The sequence below is a fragment of the Homo sapiens genome, chromosome 19 (genome assembly GCF_000001405.40).
Source record: "Homo sapiens chromosome 19, GRCh38.p14 Primary Assembly".
Classification (NCBI taxonomy): domain Eukaryota; kingdom Metazoa; phylum Chordata; class Mammalia; order Primates; family Hominidae; genus Homo; species Homo sapiens.
Genome location: NC_000019.10, coordinates 9,025,704 through 9,045,518, shown reverse-complemented (window position 1 = coordinate 9,045,518; position 19,815 = coordinate 9,025,704). Strand labels below are relative to the sequence as shown.

Below are 19,815 nucleotides of genomic sequence, written 5' to 3'. Positions count from 1 at the left end.
TTTTTTTGTAGAGACAGGGTCTCGCTATGTTGCCTAAGTTTATCTTGAACTCCTGGGCCTAAGCAGTCCTCTTGCCATGGCCTCCCAAAGTGCTGGGATTACAGGCATGAGCCACCACGCCCAGCCCATGCTTTGACTCTTATTTTTCACAGCCTCCTTCTGGCTGCTGTACAAAGAGCAGACTGTTAGGGCACAAGGTGGAAAGAAATCAGAGAGGCTATCAGGAGGCAATAATCCAGGAGGAAGACGTGGATACATTTTAAAGACCTTGAAGGATTAGCTGATTCGTGAAACACTGGGAGAGGAGGTGGGTGCAGGGGATTCCGGAGATTCAGGTGGTTGAGAATGGAAGTCTTTGGTGTTCCGGTGGATCTCTGGAAGCCACAGCATTCAAGGGGTGGGTACGAATATAACTGAGGGATCTGCCAGGGAGACTTGCAGACAGAGAGCAAAACAGTTTTTGAATTTGCCAGGGGCTCCGTTAGAAAGGCAAAAAGGCATGGTGGCTCACACATGTAATCCCAGCACTTTGGGAGGCCAAGGTGGGTGGATCACGTGAGGTCAGGAGTTTGAGACCAGCCTGGCCAACATGGTGAAACCCCGTCTCTACTAAAAATACAAAATTAGCCGGGCGTGGTGGTGCGTGCCTGTGATTCCAGCTACTTGGGAGGCTGAAGCAGGAGAATCACTTGCATCTGGGAGGTGGAGGTTGCAGTGAGCTGAGATCGCATCACTGCACTTCAGCCTGGGCAACAAGAGCGAAACTCTGTCTCAAAAACAAACAAACAAAAAGACAATATATTGGCCAACTCTCTGGGCCTCTGTTTTAATGTTAATGCTAGTCAGTTGTGCTTAAACTCCAAAGGGAGGGGTACAATGAGGGATGTCCAAATCCTCTCCTTATCATGGGCTGAACTAGTTTTTCAGGTTCCTTTGGGATCCTCTTGGCCAAAAGAGGGGTCTATGAAGTCGGTTAGGGGGCTTAGAATTTTATTTTTGGTTTATAAGATGAGCTTTCTGGAATTAGAATTTTCAGAAGGGTCTGGAAGAGAGGAAACAGTGAGTGTTACTTTCTCTCGGTCACTTCCGTAGAGGAAGGAAGAAGGGGATTTTCCTCTGGAGTTGTAGGAAATGTCCTGTATCTGGGTCAGGTGGTCCAAGAGGCCTGTAAGAAAAAGTTCTGGGCCGGGCGTGGTGGCTCACGTCTGTATTCCCAACACTTTGGGAGGCCAAGGCGGGCAGATCACTTGAGGTCAGGAGTTCCAGACCAGCCTGGCCAACATGGTGAAACCCTGTCTCTACTAAAATACAAAAATTAGCCAGGCGTGGTGGTGCTCGCCTGTAATCCCAGCTACCTGGGAGGCTGAGGCAGGTGAATCTCTTGAACCCGGGAGGCAGACGTTGCAGTGAGCCGAGATTGCGCCACTGCACTCCAGCCTGGGCGACAGAGTGAGACTCTGTCTCAAAAAAAAAAGGAAGGGAAAAAAAAAGCTCAGTTTCGGAGGTCAAGGTGGGCCAATCACTTGAGGTCAGGAGTTCGAGACCAGCCTGGCCAACATGGTAAAACTCTGTCTCTACTAAAAATACAAAAATTAGCCAGGCGTGCTGGTGTGCATCTGTAATCCCAGCTGTTCTGGAGGCTGAGATAGGAGAATTGCTTGAACCTGGGAGGCGGAGGTTGCAGTGAGCAGAGATGACACCACCGCACTCCAGCTTGGGTGACAGAGCAAGACTCCATCTCAAGAAAAAAAGAAAAAGAAAAAGCTCTGAGGTGGGGTGAGTCATAGGTAAAGAACTGGGAAATCTTGGGTCACCAGAATGAGTGGAAGAGGGGAGGAGGGAAAAAAGAAGAATGACCACAGCTACCCTTTACGGAATCTGATTACGGTTGGGCCATTCACAGAGAGATTTCAGGGAGAGATTAACTCATTTAAGGCCCTCTACAGCTCAGCAGTGTGGGAGCACATTCACCCCCATTTTCCAGATGAGTACACTAAGTCAGAGAGCAGAAGAAATGTACTCAAGTTAACAGCCTGTTGGTGGCTCAACAAAACAGACACAGACAGCAGGCATGGTGGCTCTGCCTGTAATCCCCACACTTTTTTTTTTTTTTTTTTTTTTGAGATGGAGTCTCACTGTCGCCCAGGCTGGAGTGCAGTGGTGCGATCTCAGCTCACTGCAACCTCTGCCTCCCAGGTTCAAGTGATTCTCCTGCCTCAGCTTCCAGAATAGCTGGGATTACAGGCACCTGCCACCACGCCCAGCTAATTTTTGTATTTTTAGTAGAGACGGGGTTTCACCAGGTTGGCCAGGCTAGTCTGGAACTCCTGACCTCAGGTGATCCACCGGCCGTGGCCTCCCAAAGTGCTGGGATTACAGGCATGCACCACCATGCCCAGTTAATTTTATATTTTTAGTAGAGATGGGGTTTCTCCATGTTGGTCAGGCTCTTCTTGAACTCCCGACCTCAGGCGATCTGCCTACCTTGGCATCCCAAAGTGTTGGGATTACAGGCGTGAGCCACTGCGCCTGTCCCAGTTATCTATTGTTATAGAAGAAACGACCCCAAAATGCAGAGGCTTGAATTAATAACGCAGTACATGTCCGTAGTTTCAGCTATTTGGGTAGCTGAGATAGGAGGATCGCTTGAGCCCAAGAGTTTGAGTCCAGCCTGGGCAACATAGCGAGACCCCATCTCTTAAAAAAAAGAAAAACACCAAACACCAAACACCCTCTAGCAAACAATGATTTGAATGACTGGATTTCTCACTGGAAACCATGGACTCTAGAACACAATGGAACAATGTTTCTAAAATGCTGAGAGAACATGACGATTCACTAAGAATTCTATACCAGTGAAAATATCTAGGAGGAACAATAGTAAAATAAATAGGTAAAAGAAAATGAAAAGAAGTCATCATCAACAGAATTGCTCTAAAAGAAACAGTAAAGAGAGTTATTGAGGCTGAAGGGAAATGATATCAAAGAGAAGCCCGGAACTTCAAAAAGAAAGAAGAGTGAGTGAAGGCAAATTTATTGGTCTTTAGATCAAGAGAAGTCGTACTCAAGGTGTTTAAGGTATAATACCTGAGGACCATCGTCCACACCTGTACCTAATTTATTTATTGATCGATTGAGATGAAGTCTCCCTCTGTCACCCAGGCTGGAGTGTAGTGCTGGGATCTTGGCTCACTGCAACCTCCGCCTCCCAGGTTCCCAGGTAATCCTCCTGCCTCAGCCTCCAGAGTAGCTGGGACTACAGGTGCACGCCACCAAGCCTGGCTAATGTTTGTATCTTTTGTAGGGGTGGGGTTTCGCCATGTTGCCCAAGCTTGTCTCCAACTCAAGCAATCTGCCCGCCTCGGTTTCCCAAAGTGCTGGGATTACAGGAGTGAGCCACCGTGCCCAGCTCCTGGCACTAATTTACATCATAAAAGACATGACTGCTTCCATATTGTCACCAGGATACTCAAGCAGCTCTATAGAGAGGCCTACATGGCAATGAACTGAGGTTTTCTGCCCACAACCAGCACTAATTTGCCAAGCAAATGAATGAGCCACCTTGGAACTGGATCCTCCAGCCCACATCAAGCCTTCAGATGACTGCAGCCCCAGAGGACATTTGACTTCAACCTCTTGAAAGCCACTAAGCACCCATCTAAGCTGCCCTTCAACTCCTGGCTCACACGAATTATGTGAGAAAATAAATGTTTCTTGTTTTTTGTTTTGTTTTTATTTTTGAGACGGAGTCTTGCTCTGTTGCCCAGGCTGGAGTGCATGGCACTAACTCGGCTCACTGCAACCTCCGCCTCCCGGGTTCAAGCGATTCTCCTGCCTTAGCCTCCTGAGTAGCTGGGACTACAGGTGTGTGCCACCATGCCTGCCTAAGTTTTTTATTTTTAATAGAGGTGGGGTTTCATCATGTTGGCTAGGCTGGTCTCAAACTCCTGACCTCAGGTGATCCACCCACCTTGACCTCCCTAAGTGCTGGGATTTCAGGTGTGAGCCACCGCGCCCGGTCATGTTTCCTTAAAGCTTTTATCCTATAAAGGGGTGACTTGCAATGTGGAGGGTAGATTTAATCATTGCAAGGGAGGTTTGGAGGTCTGTTTCTAGTCATGTATTCCCTTGATGCCATCCTCAGACCTGTAATCCCAGCACTTTGGGAGGCCAAGGAGAGTGGATTGCTTGAACCCAGGAGTTCAAGACCAGCCTGGGCAACATGGGGAGACCCCGTCTCTACAAAAATAGAAAAATTAGCTGGGTGTGGTGTTACGCAACTGTAGTCCCAGCTACTCGAGAGGCTGTCACTCAAGCTAGAGTGCGGTGGTGTGATCTCAGCTCACTGCAGCCTGGACCTCCTGACCTCAAGCGATCCTCCTGCCTCAGCCTCTTGAGTAGCTGGGACTACAGGCACGCGACACCACCCCCAGATAATTTTTGTATTTTTGTATAGACAAGGTCTCCATATGTTGCCTGGGCTGGTCTCGAACCCCTGTGCTCAAGCGATCCACCCGCCTCGACCTCTCAAAGTGCAGGGTTACAGGCATGACGACAGCATGATTTTCTTTCTCCTTTTCTTTTTCTTTTTTCTTTCTTTCTTTCTTTTTTTTTTTTTTGAGACAGTTTCACTCTTGTTGCCCAGGCTGGAATGCGGTGGCACAATCTCAGCTCACTGCAACCTCTGCCATCCAGGTTCAAGCGATTCTCCTTCCTCAGCCTCCTGAGTAGCTGGGATTACAGGCACCTGCCACCGCACCCAGCTAATTTTTTTGTAGTTTTTAGTAGAGACGGGGTTTCACCTTGTTGGCCAGGCTGGTCTTGAACTCCTGACCTCGTGATCCACCTGCCTCAGCCTCCCAAAATGCTGGGATTACAGGCGTGAGCCACCGCACCCAGCCTTTATGGCATGATTTGCAAGGGAATATGTGACCAGAAACAGAACTACGAAGCTCCCTTGCAATTATTAAATTAAAAGAAAAGGAAAGAAAAGAAAATGATGCTGTTGTAGGGCCAAATAACTGGTTGTATGTTTGTAAGCAGGTGGGTCTCAGAGGGTCGGGGGGTTGTGTGAAGATGCTGTTGAAGTATATCTCTGAGGCTGCACGTCCCTGAGGGAGCATACCAGCGGTGGGTAAGGGCTTGGGAATGGCTGCATCTGGGCGTGTAGGATAGGTTTAGGGTGAGTCTGACCATGAGTAACTCTGACTGTGGGTCGGTGTGGCGTTAGTGACAGGGGCGTGTGGCTCCAGATAGAAGTGTTCTAAAAAAAGACAAAGAAAAGAGCTCACCTTCCTCTTCTATCTTCTCCCTGGGAGGCCAGCCCCTAAAGTCCTAGGAAGGGGCCAGGTCTTGAATCCCAGTGACCCTGATCCGTTGAGGGCGCTTCTGCTGGAAATAGGTGTTTCTGGAAGCCGGGTGGTGACCCTGGTTCTGTCCCTCGGGCCACACTCACAGAGAGTGAGTTTCGTTTATTTGAAACGCAACCATCCAGAAATACAATTGTTTTTTGTTCCACACCTTACTTTTTCTTCCACCTGACACTCACAAATAGTTTCCTTTTGCTTGTGTGATGTGAATGAAGAAGATTGACATCAGCCCTGGTTGAGAATCTGCAGGGGAGAGGCAGACAAGTCCAAACATGTTGCTCAACTCCTGTCCAGGGTGGACAATCGAGGTGAAAGGGCTTCCTTGGGGAGCAGGTATCTGATCCTCAGTTACCCCTTCCCACAATAATGGATGAAGCATATGGAGGCAACAGCATTCAGCAGTGTAGCCTAGTGGCTAGGTCCTCTGACTTTGAAACCACGTGGTCTGGGTTTAAGTCTCAGCTGTGCTACTAATCAGCTGTGTTACACTGGGAGCTTAGCCTCTCTGTGTCTTCAATCTTATTCTTTGTAAAATGTGGATACTTACAAGATAGCAGTACCCAGTGTGGAAATATGTGAGCCAGGTGTGTAATTTTGAATTTTGTATTTATTTATTATTTTTTAAGATGGAGTCTCGCTCTGTCGCCCAGGTTGGAGTGCATTGAGTTAGGGTTTCGTTGGTTTCTTTTGTGTTCGTTTTGTTATTGTTGTTGTTTTAGTTTTGAGACAAAGTCTTGCTCTATCGCCTATGCTGGAGTGCGGTGGCATGATCTGGGCTCACTGCAGCCTCCGCTTCCTGGGTTCAAGCAATTCTCCTGCCTCAGCCTCCCGAGTAGCTGGGATTACAGGCGCTCACCACCATGCCTGGCTAATTTTTATATTTTTAGTAGAGACGGGGTTTCACTATGTTGGCCATGCTGGTCTCCAACTCCTGACCTCAAACGGTCTGCTCGCCTTGGCCTCCCAAAGTGCTGGGATTACAGGCGTGAGCCACTGTGCCCGGCACTTTTTCATTTTTTACATTGACAAAGCATTGTATATATTTATGATATACAAGATGATGTTTTGAAATTTGTATACATTGTGGACTGAGTAAATTGAGCTAATTAACATACATATTACTGGCTGGGCACGGTGGCTTACGCCTGTAATCCCAGCACTTTGGGAAGCCAAGACGGATAGATCACAAGGTCGGGAGATTGAGACCAGCTTGGCCAACATGATGAAACCTTGTCTCTACTAAAAATACAAAAATTAGCCGGGCATGGTGGCGGGTGCCTATAATCCCAGCTACTCAGGAGGCTGAGGCAGGAGAATCGTTTGAACCCAGGAGACGGAGGTTGCAGTGAGCCGAGATCGTGCCACTGCACTCCAGCCTGGGCAACAGGGTGAGACTCCATCTCAAAAACAAAACAAAACAAAACAAAACATATATATTACTTCCCATACTTTTTTTTGAGAACCCCCAAAATCTACTCTCTTAGCAATTTCCAAGTACAGTCAGCTCTCTGTCCTGTGTCTCTATTTGCTTTTGGGCAAATGGAAAGAGGATAGAGAGCCTTTCTGCACCCACTTTTTTTTTTCTCTTGAGAAAGAGTCTCACTCTAGCCTGGAGTGCCATGGTGCAGTCTTGGCTCACTACAACTCCCACCTCCCGGGTTTAAGGAATTCTTGTGCCTCAACCTCCCGAGTAGCTGGGATTATAGGAGCCTACCACCATGCCTGGCTAATTTTTATATTATTAGTAGAGACGGGGTTTCACCATGTTGGCCAGGCTGGTCTCGAACTCCTGACCTCAAGTGATCCACCCTCTTGGCTTCCCAAAGTGCTGGGATTACAGGCATGAGCCACTGCGTCCAGCCCATGCCCACTTCTTAATTGCCTTCAGTTCAACAGTCCTTATGCTAAAGGGGCATATTTTGGGGTGGCGTAGTCTGGTTCCCCACATCTGTTTGTTTGCAGAGCTCTAAGGTTATTGGGGGGTAGGGGCTCCAGTTAGTGATTACCGTAAATGACAGCAGGTGTTATATGAAGGAAATATAGTATTTGGGGCTGAGGATGAGGGAAGAAGATGGAGTAATCTCTAGGAGTTTGGGGCAAATAAGTGGATGTTGGAATCATTCAGCAAGAGAGGAAAAGCGGCACCTAGAGCAGTGATCGGCTCTGTCACACCCATATTAGGCTTGGAGTCGGTCAGCTATCTCCACAGGGTAGCTGAGTATTTGATTCTGGAGCGGGGCTGGAGTTATAGGTTTGGATGTTACAAGTGCGTGGGAGGTTATTGAAACCATGCAGTGGCCAGGGAGGATGCTTGGTGAGCATGATCTAAAAGGGCTGAGATGCCTGTAATCACTGACTAATTTGTGTATTTTTAGTAGAGATGGGGTTTCACCATGTTGGCCAGGCTGGTCTCAAACTCCTGACCTCAAATGATCCACCTGCCTTGGCCTCCCAAAATGCTGGAATTACAGGTGAGTCACCGCGCCTGGCCAACCTGTGTAATTTTTTATGCTAGGTCTGATAAAGAGGTGGATAGTCATAGAGAAGTAGGATTGGGTTAAACAAAAAAAAAAAAAAAAAGAAAGGATCTTCTGCCAGTAAACTGGGGGAACTTAGCCAGGCCTGTTTGTTCAGATTCTTCTCTGTGTCCTGTGTCTTCAGAGATAAGATGTTCCTCTCCTCCCGGGATAGGGAGGGCTGCTCTCACATGAGAGTCTTACAACTTGCTTTAGGAGAGAAGAGAAAAATGTGAGAATAACCTTCATGCCTTGGACATTTTTTTCAAGTGCCAAGGTGCTTGTTTATTTCTAAGAACCTATGATGTGCCTGGCCCTGAGCTGGCTTCCAGGACACAATTATTTTCTAATAACCACATTTCAGAGGCTTATGGGGGAACTTGCCTCTTTCATTCATCCGATATTTAATAAAGATGACTATCTTTCATTCATCTATCCATCTTCTATTCATCTATTCACCCACTCATTCCTGCATCCACCCACCCACCCATTCATCCATTCACCGATCCATTCATTCATCCACTCATCCATGCATTCATCCACTCATCCATCTATCCATTCATGCACTCACCCACCAACCCCTTCTTCCATCCATGCAGCCATCTTTCATTAATCCATCCATCTTCTATTCATCCATCTATTCACCCATTCATTCCTCCACCCATCCACCCACCCACCCATCCATCCACTCATCAATCCATCTATCTGCTCATACATCCATCTATCGTCTGTCCACTCATCCACCCATCCATTCATTCATCCAGCAAATAGTCACTAAATGCTCAGTTTGCCCAAATACATCCACTTGAACTCTCTGCGAGGTCTGTGAAGTGAAGCAGAATGGTCACCTGGGGTCTTGTTAGACATGAAGAATCTCCGCAGGATCTTCCGTATCAGAAACTGCATTTTAACAAATGATTCCTATGTGAATCAAACCTTGAGGGATACTGCTATAAACTTTACCAATATTGACAAGAGTTGTCAAAAAGATTGGGAGGAAGCATGGTCAATGCTGGCATACACTGGTGACTCCATAAATAGTAGGACTGCTATTTTCAATTTTTATTATTGTAGCTTCCAGAATTGGACAGATTAGCACTAGACTAGCTCTTTTTTTTGTTTGGGATGGAGTTTTGCTCTTGTCACCCAGGCTGGAATGCAATGGCACGATCTCAGCTCACTGCAACTTCCTTCTCCCGAGTTCAAGTCATTCTCTTGCCTCAACCTCCTGAGTAGCTGAGATTACAGGTACCCACTACCATGCCCAGCTAATTTTTGTATTTTTAGTAGAAGGGGGGTTTCACCATGTTGGCCAGGCTGGTCTCGAGCTCCTGACCTCAGGTGATCCACCCGCCTCGGCCTCCCAAAGTGCTGGGATTACAGGGGTGAGCCACCGCGCCCGGCCTAGACTAGCTCTTTGTTTGCAAGGTTTGTTTGCAATTTGGGGTCTTATTCAGGGAGCACTTATAGAGGATTGCCTCTTCTGAAGTATACTTATGGCTCTGAGTTTTCTAAATCACTGAAGAGGTAACACTGATCCTGTCTCCTCTCTCTCCTCTCCCCAGGAGGAATTACTCATCTGGACACCAGAGCCCTGCTAAGCCTGGTTGCAGCCACAGAAATCCTGGGTGGTCACCATGTACCCACATCTCAGCCTTCTGCAGAAGACCTGTGCCCTGATATGCCCATCTCCTGTGGGAGAACCCTGGGGACACGCTCACTGTCCAGAGTCAGGAACATGAATGATGCTTCTGTGGACACCAAGAGGCAGCCAAACAAGAGAAAGCTGATCAGAAGGGCAGCATTCAGCCCAGTTCCTTCAAGGTCACCTGCGAGGCCAGAGGGTCCTATGACTTCCTGGAGGCTGGACGCCAGAGGCCAGGGATGGGACCCTGGAGGCCCCAGGATCCCAGTGTATCCCGTGCCCACTGAGCAGTCACATCCTGCACACTCAGGGCTGAGGCACCAGCCACATTCCCACACCAGGACCGGAGACAGTAAGTCCTTGCCTTTTTAATCTTCTAACTAGACATTGGCCCTGCCAGTGTTTAAATGTCTTTGATTCTTTATTGGTCTAGTAGACGTTGAAACTGTGCCTGATGCCAGAGGATGGGCAAATTGGTTGCAGCTTCACGCAGTTTAGAGTCAACTAGTGAAGACAAGTTTGAAACAAAGTATCACAATAAAACAGGATGATGTGGAGGATGGGGGAAGTATGTAGCATTCAGGCAGGTAGGGTGAACCTAGGGGAGGGAATCAGGAGTTTCTCTGCTAGTGAAATTTAAGCTGCAGTGAGGAGTTACCCAGCAAAGATGGCGTCCACATGATGTAAGGGTTTAGTAGATGTTTCTTCTCCCTCCTTCCAACCTCTTTTTGTTTTTTTGGTTTTTTTTGAGACAGAGTCTTGCTCTGTTGCTAGGCTGGAGTGCAGTGGCAGGATCTCAGTTCACTGCAACCCCTGCCTTCCAGGTTCAAGCGATTCTCCTGTCTCAGCCTCCTGAGTAGCTGGGACTACAGGCATGCACCATCATGCCCAGCTAATGATTGTATTTTTAGTAGAGACGGGGTTTCACCATATTGGCCAGGATGGTCTTGATCTCTTGACCTCATGATCTTCCTGCATCGGCCTCCGAAAGTGCTGGGATTACAGGCGTGAGCCACTGCACCCGGCCCCAACCTCCTCTTTCTTTCTTCCTCCTTTTCTTCTCCTCCTGCTTCCCTCTCCTTTTCTCCCTGACCCTCCGCCTCCTTTCTTCCCCTCGTTCTTTTCTCTTCTTCCCCTTTCTCCTCCCCCTTCTTCTCCTCCTTCAATTATTTTATTTATTTATTTACTTATTTATTTTTCGAGACCAGATCTTGCTCTGTCTTGCTCCACCCAGGCTGGAGCACAGTGGCATGATCTGGGCTCACTGCAACCTCCGCCTCCCAGGTTCCAGCGATTCTCCAGCCTCAGCCTCCCAAGTAGCTAAGATTACAGGCACCTGCCAACACGCCCGGCTAATTTTTGTATTTTTAGTAAAGATGAAGTTTCACCATATTGGCCAGGAAGGTCTCGAACTCCTGACCTTAGGTGATCTGCCCACCTCAGCCTCCCAAAGTGCTGGGATTACAGGCGTGAGCTGCCACACCTGGCCCTCCTTCAATTATTTTTAAAATGAATTACTATTTGTTTCTTGAGTCCTTCCAGTCATGGACAAAGCCTGTAGTTCTTTTTTGTCCAGATCTCAAGCTAAGGATGGTTTTTACTGGCCGGGTGCAGTGGCTCACGCCTGTAATCCCAGCACTTTGGGAGGCTGAGGCAGGTGGATCACTTGAGGTCAGGAGTTTGAGACCAGCCTGGCCAACATAGTGAAACCCCATCTCTACTAAAATACAAAAAATTAGCTGGGCTTGGTGGCGGGCGCTTGTAATCCCAGCTACTCAGGAGGCTGAGACAGGAGAATCACTCGAACCTGCGAGGCAGAGATTGCAGTGAGCTGAGATCACGCCACTGCACTCCAGCCTGGGTGACAGAGTGAGACTCTGTCTTAGAAAAAAAAAAATAGGATGGTTTTTACATGTTTGAAGGATTGGGGAAATCAACAACAACAAAAGAGGAAGACAGAGCAGGGTTCTCATGGCCTGTGAAAACTAAGATACTCACTCTGGGCCCTTACTGAAAGTTTGCCAAGACCTGGAATATATTATTTTTTATTTTATTTTATTTATTTATTTTTTGAGACAGAGTCTCTCTGTGTTGCCCAGGCTGGAGTGCAGTGGCGCCATCTCGGCTCACTGCAACCTCCGCCTCCCAGGTTCAAGTGATTCTCCTGCCTCAGCTTCCCAAGTAGCTGGGATGACAGGTGTGTACCATCACACTTGGCCAGGAATATATTATTAACGTGATTTTCATTTGTTTCTTTTTATGTGTGTGTGTGGGGAGGGGCTGCTAGAAAGTTTTAAAACACATATATGGCTTGCGTTGCATTTCCACCATAAGAGCTGCTTTAGAGCGTTTCCAGGGTCTGTCCCAGAGCAAGGCACATGTAAGGTAGGGAGGGACAGGGAGGCCAGTGGTTATTCTTGTACATCTCTGACTTCAGAGTTCTGGATTTGAACCCTTGGTTGTGAACACATTGCTGAACCCATTGGTTCTCAGCAGCTCATCTGTTCAATGTGGCTCTAAGAGCATTTAATGATATAGCACATTGGCCAGGTATGGTGGCTCACACCTGTAATCCCAGTGCTTTGGGAGGCCAAGGCAGATTGCCTGAGCCCAGGAGTTCAAGACCACCCTGGGCAAAATGGTAAAACCCCATCTCTACAAAAAAATTAGCCAGGCTTGGTGGAGGGTTCCTGTAGTTCCAGCTACTTGGGAGGATGGGTTGAGCCTGGGAGGCAGAGGTTGCAGTGAGCCAAGATCGCGTCACTACACTCCACTCCAGCCTGGGTGACAGAGCAAGACCCTGTTTCAAAAAAAAAAAAAAAAGAGGCCGGGCGCGGTGGCTCATGCCTATAATCCCAGCACTTTGGGAGGCCGAAGTGGGCGGATCACCTGAGGTCAGGAGTTCGAGACCAGCCTGACCAACACGGAGAAACTCCATCTCTACTAAAAATGCAAAAATTAGCAGGGCGTGGTGGCACACGCCTGTAATCCTAGCTACTCAGGAGGCTGAGGCAGGAGAATCGCTTGACCCCAGGAGGCAGAGGTTGCAGTGAGCCAAGATCATACCATTGTACTCCAGCCTGGGCAACAAGAGCGAAACTCCATCTAAAAAAAGGAGACAGAGAGATAGCACAAAGCAAACACTTAACACAATGCCTGGCTCACTGAAAGCATCAGGTAGAGGATGCCTCTTTTAAGTCATTTGCTGAAGACCCTCTAAGTCACTACCTCCTAGAGCCAAATGTGCTCTTTACATATTTCAGGAGAGCTCAGTGCACCTCAGCCTTCTGGGCTTTCCCAGTCTGGCCTCACGGGAACGCTTCCTTGCTGTCCTTCTCAGCTGCTTCTGTGAACACTTGAGATTAGCAGCTGGTCATGATGTTACCTGAGCTGGCTAACACCACAGGTGTGCCCAGGAGACCATGAAGAGCAGTAGGGCGAGGCTGTCATGAGGCCAACTGTGCAATGAGAAGGGGTCCTCCCAGCAGCTGGGAAGTGCCATACAGCTTCTGCTGGGGAGCTGGAGGAAGTACGAGTCAGCTCCCACCTGGCCAGCCAGTAAGAGCAGGGCAAGGTGTTGGCACTGGACATTTGGGAGTGTACGTGCCACCAGCTCCTGTCATCTGCTTTGTTTCCGAACTCAAAGAGTGAAGCAGACCTGTCTTGTGGACACTAACTTCCTTCATTCATTCCTTCGCTTGTTTGGCAAATATTTATTGAGCACCTGCTGGGTGGTAACACCTGTGTCAAACACCATGGGATGTACAGTAAACAATGTGGTCAGGGCTTCTGCCCTTGCCAAGGCAGAAAATCAAGAAGATAAAGGTTGTAAAAAAGTCTATGCAGCTGCAGGTCGTGGCATGTGCCTGTAGTCTTAGCTACTTTGGAAGCTGAGGTGGGAGAATCACTTGAGCTCAGAAGTTAGAGGCTGTAGTTTGTGATGATTGCTTGTGGATAGCCACTGCACTCCAGCCTGGGCAACATAGCAAGACCCCATCTCTTTTTTTTTTTTTTTTTGAGACAGAGTTTCACTCTTGTTGCCTAGGCTGGAGTACAATGGTGAGATCTTGGCTCACCGCAACCTCTGCCTTCCGGGTTGAAGCGTTTCTCCTGCCTCAGCCTCCCAAGTAGCTGGGATTACAGGCATGCATGACCATGCCTGGCTAATTTTGTATTTTTAGTAGAAATGGAGTTTCTCCATGTTGGTCAGGCTGGTCCCGAACGCCCAACCTCAGGTGATCTGCTCCCCTTGGCCTCCCAAAGTGCTAGGATTACAGGTGGAGGTTGCAGTGAGCCAAGATCATGCCATTGCACTCCAGCCTGGGCAAGGAGAGTGAAACTCTGTCTCAATAAGTAAATACATAAATAAATCTAGAGAGGGTATGTAATTTTGTTACATGCATAAATTGTATAGTGGTGAAGTCAGGGCTTTTGGGGTATCCATCACCCCAATAAGGTACATCATAGCCATTAAGTAATTTCTCATCACCCTACCACATCTGCTCTGTCATTCCACTCTCTACATCCACATGAACACATTTTTTAGCACCCATGTATGAGTAAGAACATGCAATATTTGACTGTGTGTCTGACCTGTTTCACTTAAGATAATGACCTCCAGTTCCATCCCTGTTGCAGCAAAAGACATGATTTCACGGCTCAAAGATTTTTTTTTATGGCTGTGTGGTATTGCGCTGTGTATATGTACCACATTTTCTTTAGCCAGTCCTCTGTGGATGGACATTTAGGCTGATTTCTTATCTTTGCTATTGCGAGTAGTGCTGTGATAAACCTACAAGTGCAGGTATCTGTTTGTTTGTTTGTTTGTTTGTCTGTTTTGAGACAGAGTCTTGCTCTATTACCCAGGCTGGAGTGCATGGCGTGATCTCAGCTCACTGCAACCTCCATCTCCCGGGTTCAAGCAATTCTTGTGCCTCTGTCTTCTGAGTAGCTGGGATTACAGGCACCTGCCACCACGCCTGGCTAATTTTTGTATTTTATATTAGAGATGGGATTTCACCATGTTGGCCAGGCTAGTCTCAAACTCCTGACCTCAAATGATCTGTCCACCTTGGCCTCTCAAAGTGCTGGGATTACATGCTTAGCCACCATGCCCAGCCAGGAGTCTTTTTGATATATTGATTTCTTTTTTTTTTTTTTTTTTGAGTATATGCCCAGTAGTAGGATTGCTGGATCAAATGATAGTTCTATTGTTTAGTTATTTGAGAATTTTTTTTTTTTTTTGAGACAGAATCTTACTCTGTCGCCCAGGCTTGAGTGCAGTGGCGCGATCTCGGCTCACTGCAAGCTCCGCCTCCCAGGTTCACGCCATTCTCCTGCCTCAGCCTCCCGAGTAGCTGGGACTACAGGTGCCCACCACCATGCCTGGCTAATTTTTTGTATTCTTAGTAGAGACAGGGTTTCACTGTATTAGCCAGGATGGTCTCAATCTCCTGACCTCATGATCTGCCCGCCTCGGCTTCCCAAAGTGCTGGGATTACAGGCGTGAGCCACCGCGCCCGGCCTATTTGAGAAATGTTCATACTGTTTTCCATAGAGGTCGAACTAATTTACACTCTGACCAGCAGTGTACAAGCGTTCCCTTTTCTCAGCATTTTCATCAACATCTGTTATTAAATATTTTTTTGTCTTTTTTTTTTTTTTGAGACGGAGTCTCTCTGTCACCCCGGCTGGAGTGCAGTGGTGCGATCTCGGCTCACTGCAAGGTCCGCCTCCCGGGTTCACGCCATTCTCCTGCCTCAGCTTCCGGAGTAGCTGGGACTACAGGCGCCTGCCACCACGCCCAGCTAATTTTTTGTATTTTTAGTAGAGGTGGGGTTTCACCGTGTTAGCCAGGATGGTCTTGATCTCCTGACCTCGTGATCCGCCCGCCTCAGCCTCCCAAAGTGCTGGGATTACAGGCGTGAGCCACTGTGCCCGGCGTATCTTTTAAATAATAGTCAATAGGAACACACTTTAATGATCTACTGCATGGGATGATGGCCATAGTTAGCAATCATGTATATTTAAATATTGCTAACAAAGCCTTTTTTTTTTTGAGACAGGGTCTCACTCTGTCCCCCAAGCTGGTGTGCAGTGGTGTGATCATAGCTCACTGCTACCTCTCCCTCCCTGGTTCAGGTGATCCTCCTGCCTCAGCCTCCTGAGTAGCTGGGACTACAGGTGCATGCCACCAGACCTGGCTAATTTTTGTATTTTTTTTTTTTTTGAGTTTGAGTTTCATTCTTATTGCCCAGGCTGGAGTGCAATGGCGCAATCTCGGTCACCGCAACCTTTGCCTCCTGGGTTCAAGCGATTCTCCTGCCTCAGCCTCCTGAGTAGCTGGAATTAACAGGTATGCACCACCACACCTGGCTAATTTTGTATTTTTAGTAGAGACAGGGTTTCTCCATGTTGGTCAGGCTGTTCTTGAACTCCCGACCTCAGGTGATCCACCCGCCTTGGCCTCCCAAAGTGCTGGGATTACAGGTGTGAGCTACCATGCTGGGCTAATTTTTGTATTTTTTGTAGAGTTGGGGTTTTACTGTGTTTCCCTAGCTTGTCTCAAACTCCTGGGCTCAAGCTATCCACCCACCTCAGCCCCACAAAGCGCTAGGATTACAGGCATGAGCCACCTCGTCCAGCCTAATAGAGCCTATTTTAAACATTCTCGTCTCCCCAAAAAGTGCTAAGTAGGTGATGTGATAGATATGTTAATTAGCTTGATTTATGGCTGGGCACGATGGCTTACGCCTGTAATCTCAGCACTTTGGGAGGCCAAGGTGGGCGGATCATCTGGGGTCAGGAGTTTGAGACCAGACAGGCCAACATGGCAAAATCCCGTCTCTACCAAAAGTACAAAAAAATTAGCCAGGCATGGTAGCGCATGCCTGTAATCCCAGCTACTCAGGAGGCTAAAGGAGGAGAATCTCTTGAACCCGGGAGGTGGAGGTTGCAGTGAGCCGAGATCGTGGCACTGCACTCCAGCCTGGGTGACAGAGCGGAGCTCCTTCTCAAACAAAAACAAAAACAAAAATTAGCTTGATTTAATCTGTCTACAATGTGTTCACGGATCAAAATATCACATTGTACTCTGTAAATATATACAATATGTGTCAGTTAACCTTTTTTTTTAAGTAGATTAGAAATGTTTTAATTAAATTGTCAACATCTTAGGGAATTTTTGTTAACTCTGAAGATTTCACATGACTAGCTAGATATTTGGTTATTGCAGTGTCTGCAGCACTGGGGAGAGTGTGTCCACCGGGGTCATTTTTTGGGGCTCAGATTTTCCTGAAATGCCCTCATCCAGGGTCCAGCTCAGCTCCATCCTCACCTTCTTCCTCTACCCACTCAGAACATCTTGGTTTCCCCTCTCCTTGAAATAGTTTGTGGATTTTTGCCAGGCGCACTGGCTCATGCCTGTAATCCCAGCACTTTGGGAGGCCTAGGCAGGCAGATCACCTGAGGTCAGGCGTTCGAGACCAGCCTGGCCAACATGGTGAAACTCCGTCTCTACTAAAAATACAAAAATTAGCCGGGTGTGGTGGTGTGCGCCTGTAGTCCCAGCTATTCAGGAGGCTGAGGCAGGAGAATCGCTTGAACCTGGGAGGCGGAGGTTGCAGTGAGCCAAGATCGCACCACTGCACTTCAGCCTAGGTGACAGAGCGAGACTCTGCCTCAAAAAAAAAAAAAAAAAAAAAAGCTTGAGGGTTTTTTCCGAAGTAACAGCTCTCTTCTAGATATTAGTTAAGAAGTCCAGGTGGAGTGTGGTGGCTCACACCCATAATCCCAGCACTTCAGGAGGGCGAGGCAGGAGGATTTGCTTCAGCCCAGGAGTTGGAGACCAGCCTAGCCAACATGGCAAAACTCCATCTCTTCAAAAAATACAAAAATTAGCCAGGCATGGTGGGGTGCACCTGTAGTCCCAGCTACTCATGAGGCTGAGGTGGGAGGATGGCTTAAGCCTGGGAGGTCGAGGTTGCATAGAGCTATGATAACACCACTGCACTCCAGCCTGGGTGACAGAGGGAGACCCTGTCTCAAAAAACAAAAACAAAAGGAATGCCCAGTGGCAGGTTCACTTACTATTATGAAATCCAAACAGAAAAGTCCAACTTCTTTGATTCTGCAGAGGTCAATAAGAGCCTCTTTGAAGTGACTTCACATAAGCAACAAAAATTCATTTGGAGTTCGGGCGCAGTGGTGCACGCCTGTAATCCTACACTTTGGGAGGCCGAGGTGGGAGGATTGCTTGAGGCCAAGAGTTCAAGACCAGCCTGGCCAACACAGCAAGACCTCACCTCTATAAAAGAAAAAACAATTGAAAAAAAAAAGAAGGCCGGGCGCGGTGACTCACGCCTGTAATCGCAGCACTTTGAGAGGCTGAGGTGGGTGGATCATGAGGTAAGGAGTTCGAGACCAGCCTGGCCAACGTGGTGAAACCCCATCTCTACTAAAAATACAAAAATTAGCCAGGTGTGTTGGCACACACCTGTAATCCCAGCTACTCAGGAGGCTGAGGCAAGAGAATCACTTGAACCTAGGAGGCGGAGGTTGCAGTGAGCCGAGATTGCGCCCGTGCGTTCTAGCCCGGGTGACAGTGCGAGACTCCATCTCAAAATAATAATAATAATAAGTAAAAATAAAAAAAATTTATTTGGAAAAGTGAAGGCCTCCATCCTCCACAAAAACAGGGAAGTCAATGAAGTGGACATGAGTCAGTTGGTGTGTGGCATTTGTATCAGCTATCATCGTGTAACAAATTACTCCAAAATGAATGGGCTCAAAACAACATTTATTATCTACAGTTCCAGTGGGCCTGGACTCTGGGCTGGGTTTTCTGCCTCAAGGTCTCTCCTAGGCTGGTATCCAGATGTCATCCAAGGCTGTCCTCACTGTAAGGATCAGCTAGGGGAGGACTGACATCTAAGCTCCCTGTTGGCAGGATTTAGTCCCAGTGGCTATTAGATTAAGGCCCTCAGTGTCAGCCGGGTGTGATGGCTCAGGCCTGTAATCCCAGCACTTTGGGAGGCGAGGCGGGTGGATCACCTGAGGTTGGGAGTTTGAGACCAGCCTGACCAACATGGAGAAACCCCACCTCTACTAGAAATACAAAATTACTGAGCGTGGTGGTGCATGCCTGTAATCCCAGCTACTCGGGAGGCTGAGGCAGGAGAATGGCTTGAACCCAGGACGGGGAGGTTGCAGTGAGCTGAGATCAAGCCATTGCACTCCAGTCTGGGCAACAAGAGCAAAACTCCGTCTCAAAAACAAACAAACATACAAACAAAAAGAAAAAATTAGCCGGATGTGGTGGCACGTGCCTGTGGTCTCAGCTGTTCGGGAGCTGGGGCAGAAGAATCACTTGAACCTGGGAGGTGGAGGTTGCAGTGAGCGGAGATCGCACCACTGCACTCCAGCCTGGGCGACAGAGCGAGACTCTGTCTCAAACAAAACAAAACAAAACAAAACAAAACCAAACAAAACCCTCAGTGTCATTGCCACGCGGCTTTCTCCCAGGAGGCCACTTGTTTTTTCAAAGCATGCAAGCCAAGAAGGAGCTAGATGGAGTGCAGTGAGATGGAAATCGCAGTCTTTTGTAACCTAATCACAAAAGTGACACACCATTGCTTTTGCCGGTTTCTGTTCCTTAGAACGGAGTCATTAGGTTCAGCCCACACTGGAGGCAAGGCATATTAGGCCATTCTCGCATTGCTGTAAAGAAATACCTGAGACTGGGTAATTTATTTCTTTATTTCTTATTTTTATGTATTTATTTTTTTTGAGACGGAGTTTCGCTCTTGTTGCCCAGGCTGGAGTGCAATGGCATGATCTCAGCTCACTGCAACCTCCGCCTCCCGGGGCTCAAGCGATTTTCCTGCCTCAGACTCCAGAGTAGCTGGGATTACAGGCATGCACCACCATGCCTGGCTAATTTTGTATTTTTAGTAGAGACAGGCTTTCTCCATGTTGGTCAGGCTGGTCTCAAACTCCTGACCTCAAGTGATCTGCCCGCCTCAGCCTCCCAAAGTGTTGGGATTACAGGCGTGAGCCACCAGGCCCGGCCTATTTTTTTAATTTTGTGAGACAGAGTCTTGCTCTGTTGCCCAGGCAGGAGTGCAGTGGCGAGACCTCAGCTCACTGCAAGCTTCACCTCCTGGGCTCAAGTGATTCTCCTGCCTCAGCCTTCTGAGTAGCTGGGATTACAGGCACGCGCCACCACGCCTGGCTAATTTTTGTATTTTTAGTAGAGACGGAGTTTCACCGTGTTGGCCAGGCTGGT

General features: G+C 47.9%; 1 protein-coding gene and 1 pseudogene across 1 annotated transcript in view, besides 1 other annotated feature; both read left to right on the top strand.

Moving 5' to 3' along the window:
- MUC16 (mucin 16, cell surface associated) overlaps nt 1-19,815 on the top strand; it is a gene marked incomplete in the record, with an annotated part of 216,908 nt that overhangs the window by 20,233 nt on the left and 176,860 nt on the right. The window contains 1 exon segment of the mRNA NM_001414686.1: nt 9,451-9,882. Within this exon segment, the coding sequence (NP_001401615.1) occupies nt 9,451-9,882 (432 nt within the window).
- Nucleotides 4,890-6,089: an enhancer, noted in NCBI's record as "MED14-independent group 3 enhancer chr19:9150106-9151305 (GRCh37/hg19 assembly coordinates)". NCBI's record gives its function as "activates an origin of replication core promoter dependent on BRD2, BRD4, P300/CBP and CDK7 cofactors, and independent of MED14, by STARR-seq in HCT116 cells {active_cell/tissue: HCT116}" and the evidence as "EXISTENCE:reporter gene assay evidence [ECO:0000049][PMID:35650434]".
- On the top strand, nt 5,767-5,839 carry TRQ-TTG8-1 (tRNA-Gln (anticodon TTG) 8-1; annotated as a pseudogene).